Source organism: Homo sapiens, chromosome 6, assembly GCF_000001405.40.
Source record: "Homo sapiens chromosome 6, GRCh38.p14 Primary Assembly".
Classification (NCBI taxonomy): Eukaryota; Metazoa; Chordata; class Mammalia; order Primates; family Hominidae; genus Homo; species Homo sapiens.
Window position 1 is genome coordinate 99,259,198 of NC_000006.12, and position 23,050 is coordinate 99,282,247.

Genomic DNA, 23,050 nt, shown 5'->3' on the forward strand with positions numbered 1-23,050 from the left:
GAAATCTACAGAAGCAGCATGAAGGTTTTTGCTTTTTGAATAGCTTGGCAGCAAGGTACAGAATGAGAGAGAACCCAGATAAGAAACAGCTCCTGGCCGAGTGCATTGGCTCACGCCTGTAATCCCAGCACTTTGGGAGGCCAAGGTAGGTGGATCACTTGAGGTCAGGAGTTGAAGACCAGCCTGGTTAACATGGTGAAACCCATCTCTACCAAAAATACAAAAAATTAGCAGAGCGTGGTGGCACATGCCTGTAATCCCAGCTATTTGGGAGGCTGAGGCATGAGAATTGCTTGAATCCAGGAGGCAGAGGTTGCAATGAGCTCATGCTACTGCACTTCAGCCTGGGTGGCAGATTAAGACTCTGTCTCAAAAAAAAAAAAAAAAAGAAGGAGAAGAAGAAGAAACAGCAGCTCCAGAAATTCACATTGAGCTGAAGAGGAGAGGAATTAAAACCGTCTTCAAAAAAGAACAAGATCATGTCCTTTTCAGCAACATGGATGGAAGATAGCCAAAGTGAACTAACACAGAAACAGACAACAAAATGCCACATGTTCTCACTTATAAGTGGATGCGAAGCATTGAGTACATATGGACACAAAGAAGGGAACAACAGACACCAGGGCCTACTTGGGGGTGGAGGTTTAGAGGGTGAGGATCGAAAAACAACCTATCAGGTACCATACTTATTATCTGGGTGATGACACAATCTGTACACAAAACCCCTGCGACATGCAATTTACCTATACAACAAACCTGCACATGTACCCCGATTCTAAATAAAATTTAAAAAAAGACTATTTTCAAAAAGTAGAATCTACAGGATTAGGTAACTCAAAATTTTCAAAGGGAAGGTAAGAGCCTTTTAGATGACTCCAAGGGTTTTGCTTAGACATTGGGTGGATTAGAAACATCAGGAAACAACAGACTAGGGGAAAGTGATTATAAGTTCACTTCTGAATATGTTGAGACATCAGAGGCAGTGTCCATAGATGTGTTTATATATGGGTCTGGAGATGGGGAACAAGATCTGGGGTTAGAGATGTAGAAGTGTGTATCACCTGCTTGTAGATGGTGGAAAGCAATATGTAAGGTGAGCTTCTCAAGGCAGTGGCAGTTGAAGCCCTAAGAATCATGCCATTTAAGGGTGTTTTCTCCTTTATTTTTTCCGTAATATCCCCAGGACCCGTCTAAGAAGTCAGGATGAATGAATTGTGTGGAACCAATGGTTATAACCACCAGAATTAAGGTGAACTGGCTGGGGGCGGTAGCTCACACATGTAATTGCAGCACTTTGGGAGGCCAAGGCAGGCAGATCACCTGGGGTAGTTTGAAACCAGCCTGTCCAACATGGTGAAACCCCGTCTCTAATAAAAATACAAAAATTAGCTGGGCATGGTGGCACATGGCTGTAATTCTAGCTACTTGGGAGGCTGAGGCAGGAGAATCACTTGAACCAGGGAGGTGGAGGTTGCAGTGAGCCAAGATAGGGCCACTGAACTCTGGCCTGGGTGACAGAGTGAGACTCCATCTCAAAAAAATAATAATAATAAAAATTAAAGTGAACTGACCACATATATTTCACAAATCAGACAGGCCCTCTAACAGAGAATCAAGGAGTGTCTGAACATAGATCAAGGGCATGATGATGTGTCCGGAGTTGGTTCCTTCCAGTGCGTTCTTGGACTCGCTGACTTCAAGAATGAAGCTGCAAACCCTCGTGGTGAGTGTTACAGTTCTTAAAGATGGTGTGTCCGACTGGGTATATACCCAAAGGATTATAAATCATGCTGCTATAAAGACACATGCACACGTATGTTTATTGCGGCACTATTCACAATAGCAAAGACTTGGAACCAAGCCAGATGTCCAACAACGATAGACTGGATTAAGAAAATGTGGCACATATACACCATGGAATACTATGCAGCCATAAAAAATGATGAGTTCATGTCCTTTGTAGGGACATGGATGAAGCCGGAAACCATAATTCTCAGCAAACTATCACAAGGACAAAAAACCAAACACTGCATGTTCTCACTCATAGGTGGGAATTGAACAATGAGAACACATGGACACAGGAAGGGGAACATCACACTCCGGGGACTGTTGTGGAGTGGGGGGAGGGGGGAGGGATAGCATTAGGAGATATACCTAATGCTAAATGACGAGTTAATGGGTGCAGCACACCAACATGGCACATGTATACATATGTAAGAAACCTGCACATTGTGCACATCCACCCTAAAACTTAAAGTATAATAATAATAAAATTAAATTAAATTAAATTAAATTAAATTAAAAAAGATGGTGTGTCCGGAGTTTGTTCCTTCAGATGTTCAGATGTGTCCGGAGTTTCTTCCTTCTGGTGGGTTCGTGGTCTTGCTGACTTCAGGAGTGAAGCTGCAGACCTTCGCAGTGAGTGTTACAGTTCTTAAAGTTTGTGCAGACCCAAAGAGTGAGCAGCAGCAAGATTTACGGCGAAGAGCGAAAGAACAAAGCTTCCACAGCGTGGAAGGGGACCCAAGCAGGTTGCCGCTGCTGGCTCAGGTGGCCAGCTTTTATTCCCTTATTTGGCCCCACCCACATCCTGCTGATTTATCCATTTTACAGAGCACTGATTCGTCCATTTTACAGAGTGCTGATTGGTCCATTTTTACAGAGTGCTGATTGGTACATTTACAAACTTTTAGCTAGACACAGAGCACTGACTGGTGTGTTTACAATCCTTTAGCTAGACAGAAAATTTCCCCAAGTCCCCACCTGACCCAGAAGCCCAGTCGGCTTCACCTCTCCATCTCCCCTCTAAACAGGACACCCCAACTGCTGTTGGGAATTACCCGATGACCACTCTAGCTACTTCCTGCTGGACAGGGGCAAAGAAGGGGCCCTGCAGTGATAGTGTCCTCCAGAGGGGAACTCTTTAGGCCGTGAAAGGGCCAGCAGGTCAGTCCAGGGGTCCTCTATAGAAGTTGTTAGTCGAGCTCATTTGGGATTCCATTCGTAAGACCATCTGTAGCTTGATGGCCTCAATCCTAGAGGAAACACATTTGACAAGGAGGTTAAAAATATAGGGCCCGAAGGTAAGTAATAGCAAGATGGCTGCCACAGGACCTAGAAAGGGAAGAAGCCATGTTGCCCAACTCCGGAGGTTGGTATAAGAGTTTGAAAGGCGTTGTCTGATTTCAGAAGCCTTTTCCTGTAAATGCCAGGCAGCATCTCGTACTATCCCTGACTGGTTAATGTAGAAACAACACTCCTCCTCTAAGAAGGTGCAGAGTCCTCCTTTCTCAGCAGTGAGGAGGTCTAGACCTTGGTGGTTTTGGAGAGTCACTGCTGCCAAAGAGTCTATTTGGGATTATAGTTACTATCCTTACTGGATAGATTTCGTTATTTCTTGCAAACTGTCTGAGAAATCCTTTCAGAGTGTGTGGTAGTAGGATAATGCATGTTACACTATTAACTTTTAGCAAACTTTACTTTAGTTGAAAACCTTGTAAGTTTGGGATTTCAATTTTTCTTTGCTATTAATAAAACCTCGTTCAGTCCATATTAACTTAGAAATGGTATAGATGGCTCCTTCCTGATTCTGTAAGTACTTTAAGATTTGGCTGAGTGCAAACAACTCGCAGGCATGTTTGAGCAGACCAATTATTAGGCAATTTTCCTAACTGCTTCTACAAGAGTTCCTTATCACTTACTGAATACCCGTTGTGTCTTTTTTTTTTTTTCCTTAATTGCCTGGGAGGAACCATCTAATGTCCTGTCCTGAAGGGATTTCCTCCTAGATCTGGTTGGACCTTTGTATGGTAATTAATTAAGATTTAGATCCCTGTTAGGAAACCTGCTAGGTTAAGGATTTTTGACAGAAAGGCTATGGGTTGTCAGTGGCCTCAGTGCTTTCAGGCTATGCCCTTGTTTGCACTGACAACAAGGTGGTATTGGAGTGTTATAGGGTCACGGAGAAGACCTTCAATTATCAATTATAGGTTTTAAATTTACCCTGGCTTTTAAAGGAATAGGGTACACTGTTTTTTCTTTACTACTTCCATCTCTCTTTCTTTCTCTCTGACTTCTTTGTCTCTCTCTTTCTGACTCCTTCTTTGTCTGTTCCTCTCTCTCCTTGACTTTCTGTCTCTCTGTCTCTCTCTCTCTGACTCCCTCTTTGTCTGCCTCTTCCTCTCTCTCTCTGACGTTCTGTCTCTTTCTTTCTGCTGGTCTTTCCCTGCCTCTGCTAGCCACTTATGCTGGTGTTCTCCCCTCTCCTTCCCCTTTTTGATGGGTTCCACAGTGTAAGACAGTCACCTCCTTGGGTTTTTGCACTGCATGCAATAACTCCATAATTTCCTTGTGGTATTTAATGGGGGTTCACCCAGAGGTTAGGAACTCCCTTTCTTTCCATATTGCAGCATGGGCATGTAGGATTAGATAAGCATACTTGCTATCTGTGTACACATTTATTCTTTTTCCCTTTCCCAGTTCTAAGGCTCGGGTAAGTGCCACTAGTTCTGCTAACTGGGCACTGGTCCCTGGGGGAGGAGGCTTACTTCCAAGTATGGTTACATCAACTATGGCATAACCTGCCCTTCATATCCCATTTTCCACAAATGAACTTCCATCGGTATATAGGTTAAGGTCAGGATTAGCTAAGGGGACTTCTAAGAGATGATCTCAGGCGGCATAAGTCTGGACTACAACCTGTTGGCAGCCATGCTCGACTGGCTCCCCATCCTCTGGGAGAAAAACAGCAAGGCTGATGGCTGCACATGTATGCACTTGAAGCACCGGTCCCTCAAGTAGTAGCATCTCGTATCTAAGCAGGTGGTTGCCTGATATCCATAAACTTCCTTTGGCACCTAGTATGCCATTTACATCATGAGTAGTCCAGACAGTGAGGTCCTTTCCTTGTATTATTTTGATAGCCTCTGACACTAAGATGGCCACCACCGCAACTACCCATAAACAGTGAGGCCAGCCTTTTGCTACTACATCAATTTCCTTATTTAGGTATGCTACTGGTTGTGGGGTTGTCCCACGAGTCTGGGTAAGGACTCCAAGAGCTATCCCTGCTTTCTGGAAGGCTTAAAGCTGGAGCTTTTACTAGGGTCTGCTTTAAGGTTTTGAAGGCTGTTTCTGCCCCTGGTTCCCATTCTACTAGATGAGTATTTGCCCTCTTGGTCTCCTTGATTAGAGTATAGAGGGGCCTGGCTATCTCGCTGTATCTGGGGATCCATAGTTGGCAAAAGCCAGTGATTCCAAGGAACCCCTGAAACTGTTTTAATGTCTTAGGGTGAGGATAAGCCAGTATAGGCTGTATTTATTCCTTGCTGAGGGCCCTGGTTCCTCTGGCTAAGATTAGGCCTAGATATCTGACCCGCTGTAGGCAAAGCTGGGCCTTCAACCTAGATGTCTTGTACCCTTGATTAGCTAGAAAGTTCAAGAGATCTAGAGTAGCCTGCTGGCATGAGGCTTCTGAACTGGTAGCCAAAAGTAAATCATCCACATACTGAAGGACCAGAGTGCCTGGACTTGAGAAGTGGCCTAGATCTTGGGCCAGTGCCTGACCAAACAGAGGAGGGCTATCCCTAAACCCATGAGGCAAGACGGTCCACGTAAGTTGGGATGTGTGGTCTGTGGGATCCTCAAAGGCAAAGAGAAACTGGGAGTCAGAGTGCAGGGGAATACAGAAGAAGGCATCCTTGAGGTCCAGAACACTGAACCATTCTGCTTCCTCTGGTATTTGAGAAAGCAGGGTATAGGGGTTGGGTACAACTGGATATAGAGGAATTACTGCCTCATTGATGAGTCCAAGATCTTGCACTAGTTTCCACTGACCATTCTGTTTTTATACTCCTGGAATTGGGGTGTTGCAGGGACTGCTGCATTTCCTTACTAAGCCTTGAGCTTTTAAATGTTTAACAATATCCTGTAATCCTTTATGAGCTTCAGGCCTTAAGGGATATTGCCTTTGATAAGGAAATGTGGTGGGATCTTTTAGCCTGATTTGGACTGTGTGGGCATTTTTTGCCCCTCCAAATTGTCCTTCCAATGCCCAGGCTTCAGGGTTGATTCCCTCCCAAGTAGGAGACAATAAATGGGTAACTTGTTCCCCATATTCATGTAGATAATAGCTCCAGCCTTGGCTAATATATCCCTCCTTAATAAGGGTGGGACTTTCAGGCATAACAAGAAAGGCATGTGAAAAGAGCAAAGTCTCCCAGTTACAACTGAGAAGGTGGGAGAAATACCTGGTTACAGGCTGTCCCAGGATTACTCAGATGGTAATGGACCTTGATGACAGTTGTCCAGGACAGGAGATTAACACTGAGAAGGCCGTGCCGGTATCCAGGAGGAAGTCAATTTCCTGGCCCTCAATGGTTAAACATACCCGGGGCTCAGTGAGGGTGATGACATGGACATGAGCTGGCACTTGCCCTGGGCACCCTCAGTCCTGTTGTTGGATCATCTGGTTGGGGGCTTCTGGCCCAGAGAACCATTGCACTCTGGGGCAGTGTGCTTTCCAGTGATTGCCTCAGCATAGTGGACATGGACGAGGGGGAGGCTTGTTTCTCGTTGGACAATCTTTTTTAAAGTGTCCTTGTAAACCACACTGATAACAAGCCCTACTGGGTGATTGGCCTGCTCCATTTTCTGTCCTCTCTGAACCCCCAAGGTTTGTTTGTCTGAGGGCCATGACTAAGGCTGTGGCCTTTCTCTGATCTCGCTTTTCCTTTTGGGCCTGTTCCTCTTGGTCCCTATTATAGAACACCAAGGTTGCTAGGTTTAATAATGCCTCCAGATTTTGTTCAGGGCCCAGGGCTCGCTTTTGGAGCTATATCCTGATATCTGCAGCTGATTGGGTAATAAACTTATCTTTTAGAATCAATTGACCCTCGAGTGAGTCAGGTGTCTGGGGAGTATATTTTCTTAAGGCCTCCCATAGCTGCTCAAGGAAGGCAGGATTTTCTTCCTTTCCCTGAGTTATGGTAGACATTATTGAACAATTCATGGGCTTTTTCCTAATTCTCCTTATTCCTTCTAGGACATAGGTCAACAGATGTTTACGACTCCAGTCCCCACGATCTGAGTCGAGGTCCCAGTGGGGATCCATACTGGGGACAGCTTGCTGACTGGTAGGGAATTTGTCCCTTTCTTCAGCTGTCATTCTATCATTTACTTGACTGAGATACCAGGTATCTCCAAAGTCTCAGGCTACAGCTAAAGTCTCATTCTTTTCATTAAAGGCCAGTGTTTGATCTAACAATAGCAAGACATCTCTCCAAGTGAGATCAAAGGTTTGCCCTAGACCCTGTATGACATCTATGTACCTATCAGGATCATCTGAAAACTTCCCCAAATCTGCCTTGATCTGCTCTAAATCAGAGAGGGAGAAGGGGACATGTACCCAGGTTGGGCCAAACTCCCCTCCCCCCACAGCTTGAAGGGGACATAACCAATAGCCCAGGGGGGATTGTGGTCCTTTGGAGATTTCTTTGCTTATTTCCTTCCGGGTGGAGGAGATTAGAGGAGGCTTATCATTAATAGGAAGGGGAGCTATAGGGAGGCTAGGATATGGGGATAAGCTGTGAAGTCCTCCTGTAGGATGTAAATTGCAAGCTTTGCATAGTTTTGTATTCTCCTTCAATGAAAAGAAAGCTTGGACATAAGGTATTTCACTCCATTGGCCTTCCCTCTTACAGAAAAGGTCAAGCTGCAGGATAGTATTGTAATTTATATTTCCCTCAGGTGGCCATTTTTCCCCATCAGAGAGATAATATTGGGGCCAAGCTGTAGTGCAGAAAAAAATGAGCCAGGTCTTTTTCAGGGTTTGTGGGTCAAATTGGTCCCAATGGCTTAGGATGCATTTCAAGAATGAGCCTGTTGATGCTTGAGTGTTTCCCATCTGAAAGACAAAACCGCCAGTGGTTTTGGTTTGTTTGTTTCTCCCCCTGCCCAAGAACCCGCAACGGTCCCTGGGCCCTGCTGATGGGAATAATCGCCCTCACTGACGTAGCAGCAGAAACACCTCTTGCCCAAGAACCCACAACAGTCCCTGGACCCTGCTGATCAGAATAGTTGTGCTTACTGATGCAGCAGAGTCCTAAGCATTCTCCTGTTAGTATTGACACCTTACCCATGTCCTATAAAGATGTTATGCCCCAAAAATGAAGTGAAGGGCCATACCCTGAGGGAGGGAAGGGATCTCCAGAGTTAGAAGAGTGATGCCTTTTGTCCTCACTTATACGAATAGGAAGGATACAATTTCTGAGGCTCCCCAAATCCTAGCTTCAGGAATAGCTTTTGTTAGGCCTGCTTTTCTGAGGAGGGATCCTAAAATTCCAGATAGTCCCCCCTACAATGGGGCTTTGGGCAAAAATTATGTCTTTCTGGTTGGTGAGCCCGGGTGCCTAAAGAAGGTAACAGAGTCCTGAAGTTTATACTAGAAATCATTCTTACAGGAGAAACTAGAAAAGCACCAGAGACAGGGAGTGGTTTTTAGAAGCAGGACTAGCCTCGGAGAAGAAAGGCGGGAGGAAGTTTGTCTGACAGGCATTAGGACCCAGGAGGCAAGCATCAGGATAGATAGGATAGATGGGTGAGTCTCGCTTGGGCGACATGACTTTGAGAGTTCTGCTCATGGCTGCAGGGTCAACCAACTTGTTGTCGGGACCCCAGAGCTGAATGGCTTTTGTCTCTGCCAACCCTTGGCTCAGCCCAGAAGTACAGGAAAAGCGGAAGCTGGTTCCAGGCAAACCAACACTCCCAATTCCAAAGAGTCGGGGGTTGTTAGAGAGCCCTTTCCCAGAAAGCCTGACAACCATGTCTTAAGTCTGGTGGCCGTGCTAGTCGCTTTTAACTGGCCAGCTTTTAACAGGTGCCTGGTATTTAGCCCCCAAATTCTAAGGAAAAATAGAACAAAATAGCAAGTGAAAGGGGTCTGATGGTACTCACTGCTTGGCGATAGGCAATAGTCCCATCTGGGTCACCAAAATGTGTCTAGAGTTGGTCCCTTCCAGTGGGTTCTTGGTCTTGCTGACTTCAAGAATGAAGCCGCAGACCCTCGCGGTGAGTGTTACAATTCTTAAAGATGGTGTGTCCAGAGTTTGTTCCTTCAGATGTTCAGATGTGTCCAGAGTTTCTTCCTTCTGGTGGGTTTGTGGTCTTGCTGAGTTCAGGAGTGAAGCCGCAGACCTTCACAGTGAGTGTTACAGCTCTTAAAAGTGGCACGTCCAGAGCTGTTCATTCCTTCCGGTGCGTTCATGGTCTCGCTGACTTCAGGAGTGAATCCGCAGACCTTCGTAGTGAATGTTACAGTTCTTAAAGGTGGCGCGTCCAGAGTTGTTCATTCCTCTTGGTGGGTTCATGGTCTCGCTGATTTCAGGAGTGAAGCCACAGACCTTCACAGTGAGTGTCACAGCTCTTAAAGGCGGTGTGGACACAAAGAGTGAGAAGCAGCAAGATTTATTGTGAAGAGCGAAAGAACAAAGCTTCCACAGTGTGGAAGGGGACCCTAGCGGGTTGCCACTGCTGGCTCAGGTGGCCAGCATTTTTTCCCTTATTTGGCCCTGCCCACGTCCTGCTGATTGGTCCATTTTACAGAGCGCTGATTGGTCCGTTTTACAGAGTGCTGATTAGTCCGTTTTTACAGAGTACTGATTGGTGCATTTACAAACCTTTAGCTAGACACAGAGCACTGATTGGTGCGTTTTTACAGAGTGCTGATTGGTGCATTTACAAACATTTAGCTAGACTCAGAGTGCTGATTGGTGCATTTACAATCCTTTAGCTAGACAGAAAGTTCCCCAAGTCCCCACCTGACCCAGAAGCCCAGCCGGCTTCACCTCTCAATGATACAGATCTGCATGGGTTCTGTAAGAAGGCAAACCCTGCATTACGAAGTGAGGATGATTTAACAAAAGTTGATGAAGTAAAATCACTCCTGGTTCAACACAAGCACCTCCCAATCTTCACAGCCTTCTACCTTCTGTGTGGTCTGATAGCAGAAGAGATAGAGTGGTGTAGACCTAGTATTGTGCAGAATGTAAAAGCTACATTCCTAAACCTAGACTCTTTGCTTTCAAACCCCAGCCCTGTTGTTCACTTGGCATGAGATCTCCAGTGAGTTATGTAACCTCACTTTGCCTCAGTTTCTAATCTGTTGAGATGATGATGATGATGGTGATGGTGACGGTGAGGATGGTGGTGGTGGTCGTGGTGGTGGTGGTGATGGTGACAATGGTGATGGTGGTGATGACGATGGAGCCACATGATGGTGATAATGGTGACAATGACAATGGTAACAATGATAGCACTTATTTTGTTGTTGTGAGAATTCAATGAGTTGATATATGTAGCTTGCAAGGAACACAGTGTTTAGCACTTGGTAAGTGATATGTAAATGTTAGCTATTATTAGTTGATTTGGTCAATAAACTCTTCATTGATATGAGAATCAGCAAAGCAGGAGGTAGAATTAGTGTTTATAGAGAAGTAGTACTCAACTTCAGGGGAGGATGGAAGGAGGTTTGAGCTAGAAGGTATCTTAAAGATCAACCTACAGGCCCCCTCATTTTTTATAAGAAAATGATAGTGACATGCTCCAGGAGTTACAATATCTTAAAGACAATTAAACATAATACAAATATAAGGTGCTAGTAATTTTTATTCTGTCTCTAGCTCTCCAGCTTATTTGCTTTAACTATCCCTTCATAGGCTGTGGCTTCACTTTACCCCAGCACAAGTTCTAGGCCTGTGATTTGTTACTGGATCCTCAAATTCAGTGTGACTAAAACGAAACTCCATTTTCCCTGCAAACCCATTCCCCTTCCTCCACATTTCCCATGTCTGACAGCAGCATCACTACATCCCCAGTCTCCTGGGGTAGGAGCCTAAGCATTACCTTCATTTTCATCATCTCTCTCTCCACTGCTGCTCCTCACATCCCAGGAGCCTCAGTGTTTCCTTGTGCATGTGGCTGCTCTCTCCCTCTCCCTATCTCCACCATCCCCTCTCCCTTGCATGCCTTTAGCTTCACTCTGAGCCCCAGGAATCAGCAGGTCTCATTGTTCCGCCATGGCCTCTTCTCTGACTATATCCAGGATGTCCTCAGATGAATCTTATTTAAATACTCTCCCATTGTGTTAGTCCCCTGCTCAAACACCCTCCTCACTCCAAAGGGATGACTTCCGTAGAATCTGGCCCTGCATACTTCCTCCTCACTTACCCCCCTTCCCAAGCTGTGCCACCAGTGAATCAGGACTATTTGACTTTTGACTGACAGTCACACAGGATTTCCACCATCTTCCTTTGAAATCCCAAGCTAAAGTTGGGAGGAGGCCTGTGACAGTGGAGAAGGAGGTAGCCAGGTCCCCATACAATCAATGCCTGGAAACAGGTAGAGTGGGGAAGGGGCCTGGGCCTGCCCCCTCCCACACTCAGCCCCTCCCTCAACCCTCTGCCCTTCCGGAGCTGCCTTTCATGTTTGTTTTCATCCAGATTTACCTGTATATAATGTTGAGCACAGGTTACCCAGTGTGTTTGCCCAGGCCCAACATACCCTGCGGTAGGTGAACGTAACCCTCCAATCCGAACAGTCCCTCCACTGGAGACGACCCCCTAAGTCTTCATAACAAGAACGCTGGCACTAAAATAGACCTCTTAGGCATACGGGGCAGCAACACGCTAATTCCGTAAGGAAGGAAGCTGGTTCTTTTTCCTCTTTTTTTTTTCCTCCAAAATCCACTTTTATCCAAAGGATAAGCTGCTCTGACCTTGACAGTTTTTAAAAGAAAAGTCTGTTGCTAATGGGAACCAGCCCAGCTGTGAAAGATCTAATGAGTGCCTGCCAGTGGCGTCATCTAGAAACAAATCAAGCAGCTTCTGAGAGAGCAGGGAGACCAGCTGTTCCGCCTCTCCTCTAAAAGGAAAGAAGAACAGAAATATGAAACATTGAGTCAAGAAACAGTACAAATGGCAGCAAAACATGTATTTTAACGACTCTGAGATCACAGCACATTGGAAAGGTAAATGACCCTCTTCCCTCTGATGAGTCCTGAAAGCTAGGACAGCAAAGCTTCCCTAACAGGACAGACGGGAAGTCCAGGACCCCACACAAGTTCTAGAAGGGTGTGGAACCAACTGACGTTGAAGTAGATGTAGATCTATTTCAAAGTATTTCTGACTAGGGTCTATGTTAATAAACAGGGCTGATAGGATTTATAGGTCAAGAGAAATGGAGTCTAAAAAGATGAAAACCAAACTACAGGTCGAGCATCCCAAATCCAAAAATCCAAAATCTGAAACGCTCCAAAATCCAAAACTTTTTGAGCACTAACATGACACTCAAAGGAAACGGACATTGGATCATTTCAGATTTCCAGTTTTGATTTTGGGATACTCAACTGGTATAATGCAAATATTTCAAAATCTGAGAAAAACCCAGATCCAAAACACTTCTGGTCCCAAGCACTTCAGATAAGAGATACTCAATCAGTATTATCACTGAAATGGGAAATTAGGGGGTTCTCTCATTTCCTACTTAATAGATATTCCCATGTTGGGAAGGGAGGGTTAGAATTTTGAATGTTACCTGATTGTAATTTGCTCTAAATGGTAAAAAGCTAATATTTGAGTAACAGTATTATTATTTGACCAAAGATTTGGTCAAATTTTAAGATAGAATTTGAAACATCCTGCATGTCTCTATAGATCTTGACATGCCTATAGGCCCAGCTATCCTTTAAGGTTCATTACCATACACATGTGTGAATCACTTCATAGTAAGATTTGAATTTCCAAAATCTTGCTGTGAATCTCTGACCCTAAAGACTTGAGCATATCATGGCCATATTACCATATGCCAGTTTATCATCCCAAACGTCTTTCTTCATCTGTAATTTGGGAACAATAATTACTTTATTGAAGAGGTATGAAAACTAATTGAGACTATATGTGTGTGTGTGTGTGTGTGTGTGTGTGTGTGTGTGTGTGTGTGTTTGAGATGGAGTTTTGCTCTTGTTGCCCAGGCTGGAGTCAATGGCACAAAGTCAGCTCACTGCAGCCTCCACCTCCTGGGTTCAAGCGATTCTCCTGCCTCAGCCTCCCAAGTAGCTGGGATTACAGGCATGCACCACCATGCCCGGCTAATTTTGTATTTTTAGTAGAGACAGGGTTTCTCCATGTTGGTCAGGCTGGTCTCAAACTCCCAACCTCAGGTGATCTGCCCACCTTGGCCTCCCAAAGTCCTGGGATTACAGGCATGAGCCACTGCACCCTGCCTAATTGAGACAATATTTATACAAGGGGAAATTGGTCTATTATAAGGCCTAGCCATAGTAAAGGTCTCAACATGTGCTCCCAGCTCTCCCTCTCCTCCTTGTCTTCTCTCTACCAGTGGTTCTCACACTTCGTAACACTCTGAGGCACACTGGGCATGAAATAAAAGCAGGAGAGGATGGGACAGCATATTCCAGAGATCTGTTTTTCTTCTTAAAAGCCACTCACTTGAAATTCTATCAAAGTTATATGCCTAAAAAATTCATTACCTCTGTTTTAATTATACAAGAGCCTTACAACTAAAATACTCTCCCAGTCATCTAAGAGACCACCACTTAACAGTATATTAGATGCAAACATTTCAGATTTTCCCCATGAGCCTGAAGTTTAAACATTCAAATTTGCAAAAGAGAAGTAAATTGGAAGAAAGACATTCACAGAAAACTATTTCATATCCATTAGTTATCATTTACACATCAAATACATATAGCATTAAGACCAAATATACAGAATTTCCACATTTATATACAGTAGTCAACATAGTGCACAATTCAAATCTATCTTACAATCAAGTGTACAAGTTTAAATATGGCTTTATAAACTACTAATAACTCTGCTAAAGTAACTCATAGATCCAGAAATAAACACTGAAATGCCATCTTCACATTGGGGTCATCATTCAGCAAGATGCTAATCATTGTGATTGCAAAACAGAGGGTGCAGGTAAGTGTTTCCAGGTGGTGTCCGCCCATTAGCCCCGAAATGTGGGTTCAAATTATGCCAACATTGGCCCTTCCTATCTCAGATACCTAAAAATAAGTCTGCACATCTTCCACACATTTGAAGACACAAGATTATAAACAAATAGAAAAAAAGACATGTAATCAGTGAGATGATGAATTATCAGGCATTATCAAAACATGTTTTTCAGATTGATGCTGAAATTCACAGACAATACATCCTGCATTTGCATTATCTGGGTATCACCTCACCCCTACTTTCTTTTCTTGTTTTGCTTACCTCAGTGTGTTGTTAAATCTTTCTGGAATTTTCAAGGCATTCTAGATCAAGTGGTCCCAAAAGCAGAATTAAAAACATCAGTCTTAAAGGTGACATCAAATTGTTCATCCTTCTCTTTCCCAACCAAAAATGCCTATTTTAAGTAAAAATAATTAAATACCTTGACCTAAAATCATGCGTCCATGCCTGTTTTATATCTGCTTTGCCACAAATGGTATATACACATTCTCTAATCAATTACAGGCATCTGGGTGCTACGCCTAAAGACTCCTTGTCCCATTCTCTAAACTCCATTGAGGACCAGAAAATATACTTTTAAAATGTCTATGTTTGCTATGGTTTTTAATGTTTACATCAGTAAAACAGTATATACATATATAGCAGTGTATACATATATACATATATATCATAAATAAATACATGGAGGGGCATGCTCAGAAAGTTTTACTAATAGGGTGAATAAACATAAACGTTTGGAGACCACTGCCTAAATAGGGATGGACGATCTGGGCTGTCTGCAAACATTTAAAAGACTTCTCTAAAACAAAATGTACATTACTTTGTACAATTTTATATTTATAAAATGAAAAATATATGCCACAAACACTCTTGAGAGACTAGAAGGAAATTCCAAAATTAAAGGAGTAAATGTATCAGGGCCAGACCCTCTAAGCTGCTATCTAAGGTCCCAGGCCTGGCTTCAGAAGGGGAATGGGGGACATGAGCATAGAAATTAAGATAAAGATAAATGTTACTTCACTTCCTGCACTGGCCACTTGTATATCCATAGACAATCCTTCCCTACATAGATTGCACTTGTTTTTGATTTATAAACCTGTACTTTTTATTATTTTAGCAAGATGGCACCACCTAGAAAACTTTCAATTGCCTGATACATCTCTACCACAGCCATACCACATGGTTGCTTGAAATTTTGACATTTGTTACTGTTTTCTTCTCTCCTCCTACTCAGTTAAATTCTAATACCACCAAATGAGGGACTCAGACCCTCAGTTTTCCAAACTTCACCATGGAAAAACCATCGCTGTCATCAACATTTGAGTTGTCAGACATTTGGCATGATGTAGATCACTGGGAAAAAAACATGTGTTTACAATAAGCTTGTTCTGATCCCACAAGACTTATTACTTGCAATAAAATCATTTTGACAGGAGTAACATTAAAATCATTTTACAGGAGTAAACATGTCACCCCTACTGAAGCAGAAGCCTTTAGCCTTATTTCTGTAAAAAACAAATCCCAGGCATAATTTGTTAAAGATAAAAATACAATCATTTGGACATGGTTTATATTTTAATAAGCCAAATATAATCTCTTGTAGAAGAGAAGCAAATACGAAAGAACATTTCTGATTCTGAACAATGGAAGAGGAAAGTCATTGATTATTTTTTAAAGAGGAGGAAGACAGTAAATATTCAGAGCATTCCTCTTTTTTAGCCCTCAATGAACAATTATATTATATTCCCTTTGCTATCTGTTTAGCCACCATTAACTAACATGGCAATTCAGAAGTTGGATCTTATTTTTTTAGAAGCCATGGGGTAACTAAAAACAAAAAAGGTATTAAATAAGGAAAAAAGCTTAAGCATTACTAATAAGTGAAAGTTACTCTATTCCAGAGCCACAAATAAAAACAAATAAATAAAAATAAATGCATGCCAATGGGGGGTGGGAGGTGAATTAGTCACATTTAGTAGCACAACTTTTTATAAAGTTAACTGATTATGATACACATATATTGCTTTATGGTTAGTGGATTGTTTCAAAAATGCATGATGGCCATTAAATTCTTTGCTAAAATTATTGTGTACAGAACACCAAAGTACCGTATCCATCTTTTACTCCAGATTACTTGTTTTCCTACTGAAATGGTCAGTTTGGTGCTGCTAGACCATATCTGTAGGTTATTCGTTTTATTATTGCAATGGTCCCCTTTATTTGTCTACCAATTTTACAATTTAAGGCAATCATCCTTATGAAATTTGAGCATCCTAGTTTGTCATGGTCCAGCCAATAGCAGGAGTTTTAGAGGGTCTAGGTCTGGGGACAAGTTCCTTGCTTCGGCGAAAGCAGAATGGTTGAGGAGGTCACCCTGTCAGCTCCAAAACAGCTGAACCCCTTTTTTTTAAATCTATGCTTCAGTGCCCTCTGTAATCATCTCTAACTGGCAAGGCTAACGTTGCTGGTTCCAGCAGTCTCATCTCAAAGATTAAGGAAACTTAAATATCCTTAAGATATTCTTGAAAGTCAGGGACCAAAAATCTGAGTTTCTGGGTAAGGAATTCAGATGAGGAAAACATGCCACAGATGTTCGCATCCACGCCTGACAGTAGCAAGAGTCTTACAGGTAAGAGGCCCGTCCCTCCTCACCCAACAAGGGAATCCTTTTGAACTTCCCAAGTTATATCCAGACCACTGGAAGCAACTGAATAAAGGTCAAGCACTTCACAATCACATGCAATTGATCCCTGGACCTGTTAAAGATGGGTTCCCAGAGCCCAGCATTTAGCCTGGGAAGTATTCGTCATTGAGTGTACTTTTATCAGTTCTAGTTTGACTTAAATAGCACTGCATATAAAGGAGAACAAAGGATCCTGGGTCATAGTCAGGAACAATAAAATAACATACTCTGTTTAAAAAAAAAAAAAACCCTAAAAGAAAGAAAGAAGAATAACCTGAGTTGTTCCCTATCAACAAAAGCCACCAACCTTTTATTGAAAATACACTCAACAATTGTTCTATGAATGAATGAATAAATGAATACAGGAAAACCTGATTGTGCAGACCTTTCTTCTTTAAGGAAGAAAAATCCAGCCTCTTCTCTCCCACCTTCAGCCCAGGCTGGTTGCCCTATCCATGCAGAAGCGGTGGGTTTCAGGGCTGAAAGGAAGCGCACTTGGCCCTGAACTCATTTTGATAAATCAATTTTGGGGGTGGTTAAAAGATAAATGACAAGGACAACAACAAAATCCTATGACTTTCAAAATTCCAAACCTCTAAAACAAAATTTTCTCAAATAACCTAAGAGCACTTCTTTCTTCTTTTCTGTCACTCAAGACATACTGAACATGGATAATAGAGATTACTTTTGCTTGCATAGCCTGTACTAATTTTTCTTCTCTCTGGCTGTGTTAAAAACAAGAACAAACACAATGATAACATTTAAAGACTCTTGGGAACAAGACTCTTTAACTGGGGTCCATTAACCCCCTGAGGAAACCATGGATAATTTCAGGAGGTCTCTAAATTTCCTGAATTTATATGTAACATTTTATGTATTTGCATATATGTGTTTTTCTGGGAATAGGGTATAGAACTTTCGTTGGATTATCAGTGGAGTTCCTGACAAACAAAAAGTGAAAATTCACTATTTAATGGTATGTGACTCACTCTCTGAGCATCTTTCCCATGCAACCTTCAGGGAAGGAAGTGATGAGTGCTTCATTTTCAAAGGAAGAGATTATAATCAGCTGGGAAGCCTTCATGTGAAGCTGACGAAGTCAGACCTTGAGAGATGGGCATGACTTGGGCCAGTGGAGCAGAGAATAGAACATTTCAGGAGAAGGACTGGCATGAGCAGAGGCACAGAGGTGGGCCACATGAGGCTTTTTTAGGCAATGGCAAATGGATCAACCTGGCTGCACTGGATGGCTCCCATGGAGGAGCTATGGAGACAAGGTGAACAAAGGTGAAAACACCAGACCCTAAGGAGTAGCCCCTCACCCTGAGGCAATGCCACACCCCATCAGGGCCAAAGAGCTTTTTAGAAAGATTAATCCATTTGTAGTGGATGGAATGGAACAGGGAAATGGCCAAGTACGTAAAAGAGGCTAGAGAAGTCTAGGCAAAAGAGGATGCCCTGAAATCAGAGTTCTATGCTGTTCTATTTGCCACTCTACAACCAGTGTAGATCCCAGGGCCAGGCACAGGGTAGGTGCTCTGTAAATATTCAGCAAGTGAGGGAATGGACATGGGTTCTTTAAAAGATACATAAGGAAGTATGAGGAGTCTTGGTGATTTGGGAATCCATCTTGCTATTCTTCAGAGTCTAGCAATACCCTGCACTGATGAGAGGTCTCTTGTATTGGTCTTGACCAGGCTGACAGGACATGGACAAAAGCGAAGTAGGATTCCAACCAGGGAATGGCTGGAGATGTGCTGGTTGTCTGAACACAGGGTGACTTCTCAGGTAACATGCATTTTATAAGACAACAAAGCCACAGTGGTATAATGGAAAGAACCATCAAGGGCAAGGTGGTATAATAGAAAGAAACCATCAAGGGCAACGTGGTGTAATGGAAAGAACCATATTGACCTCAGTTTTTGGTCCTGCCCTTCAAATAAGTATGTATGTGACACTGAGCCAATAAGGTGCTTTCTACAGCTAATTTTTAGCACAGCTATACATTTCTATGACTCTACATTATCTCTCAAACAAATCTAAGCAAGACCCACAAGGCCAAAATCCTTAGTATGTCTGTTCCTTGAACCTTAGCTATTTCACAAAAATATACCCTAACACCACAGTATACATGGGCAGGGCTCACTTGAGGAGTAGACTGCAGTCTGATTCAAGTCCAAGTTGTTCCAGGTCCGTGATTAGTCTCCTGGGTAGCCCACAGCCTTGGTAGTGTCACTTTCTACAATTCATTATGTAACAACAACAAATTGGTAAATGCTGACAATATAGTTCATCATTGCATAAATATAGATTGTCCTTATATCTGTTCTGATGGAGAGTAAAGCTCAATGATTCTGCTCATTAATCTTGTTGAGTGGGGGTACAGATGGGCAAAGAGAGGTGGATGCAAGAGCTTGATTTACTTTTACAATGACAGGAAAAAAAGAACGAATAGCCTATGGGTCTGTTGTCCAACCAAAAGCATCTGTTAACATTAAAGATCACATACTTCAAGTTACCTTCCAGCAAAAAGGAAACACAGAACTTGAACAAGAAGCCAGATGACCAAAATGTCCCTTAACTTCTTATAGTTTTTTCCTATAATTAGCACCTGTTCATGAAATTGGAGAACATTTCAAATCTGGGTAGCTTAAGAATGAAGCACATAAAATTAAATCCTTCCGGATAAAGACTCACACTATGGTGACTTTGTCTTGGTTATTTTGTTTGCATAACCCGCCTTGGGAAAGTAAAGCAGGGGCATATTCTAGGGCTCTAAATCAAATTAACACCTACAAAATGTTGATGCCCAGTTATATGCTGTCAGGCAATTGCCCAAGACTCCAGATAGCAATGTCCATTCATGCCCCTGTAAGAGGTACCTGGATGGAATGACTTATTTTACAACTTCATTTTCAAAGTTGGTTCTCCACATACTTGTATTCCAAGTAATATAAAATTAAAAACATATATTAATCTACATTCTCATAACTTAATCATCCTTTGAGAGAAAATACATCACACTTGGTACTGTACAGTAAGATAGATTGTTCATAGAAAAAAATTCAAATACATTTCTTTTCTACTAAAATGTGGTGGGAAAAGGACAACCCATGCTTTGTGGAGACAGGTCTGCAGTCCACCTGTTCATTATATTCATATTTTCAGTCCAGGAGTCTCCCTAGTCACACAGAAATGCCACCAGTTGGCCTTAAAACACACTTGCTAGAGAGAGGGGAGGCAAACAGTCCTCCCAAATGATGCTGCAGCCTCAAACAGGCTTATCCATTCATATCTTCTCCACCACATTCTTATTAGGCATCAAACAGTCCCTTTAAATAAGAATGGTTTTAATAAGATATTAACAACTAAGTTTCCCATGGAATAAGAATTTCTAACTTAGGGTATCTCAGCACGTATTCCCAGTTACATATGCCCTACACAATTGCTTAAGTGGTAAGCAGTCTGAAAAACTCTCCTCCCTTTACCTCTTTGTGAATCTACAGCAGTCTTTTAAGATTGTTTTGCAAATGCTATATTCAAAAAGAGGTTTTTTTTTTTTCAAGTAAAGTGCATGGATTTCTCAGAAGTTGCTGTATTTTAAGAAGTGCCTCTTTAACCCCATAATGAGCAATCCTTATGTTGGTCAGAAGCAAAGCAGTTTTGTTTGCAATTGTAAATCTTGGCTCTCCTAGCCCAAATCTCACAGCCATCACCCAGGATCTCTGCCCCATATTTCCCTGGAAAATGTCCTAAGTCAAAACAACAACAACAACAACAACTTCATCTTTAGAAATAGGGTGCCTTCACAAATATGGGTAAGCCAACAGTTCATCGAATACTATAGGGAAAGAGAGAGAGAACGGGGATGAGACAGCAAAAACATTAAGACTTGTTCTCAGCATTGCTCTCCTCTCACTGGGCAGTGGCTGAAAACACCAGAAAAGTTGCATTAATAAAACTGCATATAGTCTAACACTGCACAGAGTGCTTTGATACAAGTATCCTCTTGCTACTTCATCTTTTCAATACATCTTTGCAAGGTTTGTTTTCAAAAAGACATTACAAGTTGGCAGGCTTCTGCTTATAAAAATCAATGAAATACTTTCCCTTCAACTCTATGAAACCTGCCATATACCTGAGATTTATTCTTCTCAAATAAATCAAACATAGGCAACGTAACACTCTGGAGTCAACACAGAACATGCCAGGGTGAGTTCAGGCAATGAAAGAACCACTTTTCTGCAAATACATGGTAGAATTGAAGACTGTTTGTAGCTGTCGATAATTTGTAAAAACATTTCCAATGTTCTTTGAACAAAAGATTTTGATTCAGCCAAGATTACAGAAAGGAATCATGACAAAGTCCTAAGTGTACCTTTGTGTGTATTTCATCTGCTCAGCTTTTGCAGGTGACTGTGGTGGTGGTTGCCTGGATATGGAATTCCTTTGCCCTCAAATCTTCACATGCATGAAGTGCAATAAAGAATAAAATGCTGTGTTTATGTCGCACCACTTCTAAGAGGTTTAAAGCGCCGTACGAATGTTACCACATGAATCCCCACAACACCCCTGTGAGGTAGGTAGGTGGAGAGTATTGTCATCCCCACTTTACAGGTGGGAGAAATGAGGCACCCAATAGTTAATAAGAGATTTGCTCAAAATCACACAGCTAGTCACTGGCAGGGCTTAGAATAAAATGTATACTGATTAGCACCTAGCACAGTGCTTTGCACATAGTAGGTGTTCGTTTAATATCTGTGGATTTTATTTGACTTATGTCTCAACATACAATATACACACATAAAGTACAAGCAGCCACCGTAAAACATTTTTCTGATGATATCTCTCATTACTTCAAATCCTGGTGGAGGAAGGAGGTTCAAGAATCCATCTCACAATTAAGACCTCAGGGTTGAAGAGGATCATCATAAAAACTATCAGCTGACAACCAGCTCTTACACCTGCTCTACCACACAATATTATTAATAGTTTTCTAATGAAAACAAAAATGGATTTCAGGAACCATGCTGACATTATTTTTTGCCTGTTTGTTTTCAATGGAGTCATCTGAATGGTTCTGTGTTTTGTTTGTACAAAAAAGAAATAAGGCTGCTATAGTCCAGTTAGCATGTGAAAACTCTGCCAAGCACGAAGATCTCCTCCCAGCTCGGATGGATTGCTACCTGGGAAAATGGACCGACCCAGGGAGTGGCAGGTCCCAAGGAAGAGGGTCAGTGAGGCTGGACGTCACTTGCACTGTTCGTGGTCTGTATAGTCATCCATGTCCACATCCGAATCAAAGAGTGAGTGTCCAGTAAAATCTGTGTCTGGGGTTCTGGAAAAACTGTTTTCTGCTCCCTCATCTTCAAAGGTCTCTGTCCTTGAGTAAAAGCTAAAATCCAGCAGCGGGGTGTGGGTTTTGCTGCCTTCGCTGCTCTCCTCAGACTCATAGATGGTATTGTCATCATCGTGGTGCCACTCTGGCCAAAATTTCCTCCTTATCCTCTCACAGTACATGGCAAGGTTGATCAGCTCACCTGCAGTGTGGTAAGGAAAGCAAGGATTAGTTCTCAAAGGCAGCAGTCTACCACTTCTATGGTCTGTGTTGCCCCAAAACTCCAATGTTGAAATCCTGACTCCCAATGTGATGGTCTAAGGAGGTGGGGCCTTTAAGAGGTGGTTCGTTCATGAGGCCCAAGCCCTCATTCGTGGTACTAGTACCTCATAACAGAGGCCTGAGAGAGCTGCCTTCCCCCTTTTACCATGTGAGGACACAGCAAGACAGCACTGTGTCCAGGAAGCAGGAAGTGGTCCCTCCCCCAGGCAGGCCCTCGCCAGATCCTGAATGGGCCAGAGTCGTGATCCTGCATTTCCCACCATGATCCTGCATTTCCCAGACTTTTCCAGACTCCACAACTGTGAGAAATACATTCCTCTTGTTTACCAGCAAACAAGTTTATGGCATTTTGCAACAGCGGCCCAAACTATGACATCCAGCCACTAGGCTTTCTGGGAAACTGGAATAACGGGGAAGGTAAACATTAACAGTATTTTTCCATAGAGATACTGTGAAAATATTTAGGTTTTTATGCACATAATAAAAACGGTGAGTGAGAAAAGTTACATTCAGTGAGTGTGCTGAATGAAATGAAGAAGTGAGTCCGATGATGATGAGAAGTGGCAAGGTAGTTTATCCAAAATGGCAGATAAACTACCATCATTTGGCTTTAGGAAGCATTTTATTATTTTATGTTTACATATCAAGAGAGCTAATGCTGTGATTGGTTCATATATAAATTAATTTATATTCCATAAAAATACGTCAAACTGT

At 42.5% G+C, this 23,050-nt stretch overlaps 1 protein-coding gene across 8 annotated transcripts in view, besides 1 other annotated feature; it reads right to left on the reverse strand.

Annotated features, from left to right (window-relative positions):
- Window positions 7,862-8,062: a silencer, noted in NCBI's record as "peak5979 fragment used in MPRA reporter construct". NCBI's record gives its function as "represses an SCP1 promoter by STARR-seq MPRAs in K562 erythroleukemia cells {active_cell/tissue: K562}" and the evidence as "EXISTENCE:reporter gene assay evidence [ECO:0000049][PMID:32103011]".
- Window positions 11,964-23,050, reverse strand: part of FAXC (failed axon connections homolog, metaxin like GST domain containing) — a 78,896-nt gene continuing 67,809 nt past the window's right edge. For 4 of the 8 annotated variants that reach the window (NR_144464.1, NM_001346533.1, NM_001346532.1 and 1 more), the window contains one exon: window positions 11,964-22,256. Coding sequence is in view for 6 of the 8 variants with exons in the window: in NM_001346533.1 (NP_001333462.1) it covers window positions 21,967-22,256 (290 nt within the window). In the remaining 2 variants the exon portion in view is untranslated. The remainder of the gene's footprint in view (window positions 22,257-23,050) is intronic. The other 4 variants (NR_144463.2, NM_001346530.2, NM_001346531.2 and 1 more) reach the window with 1 other exon arrangement.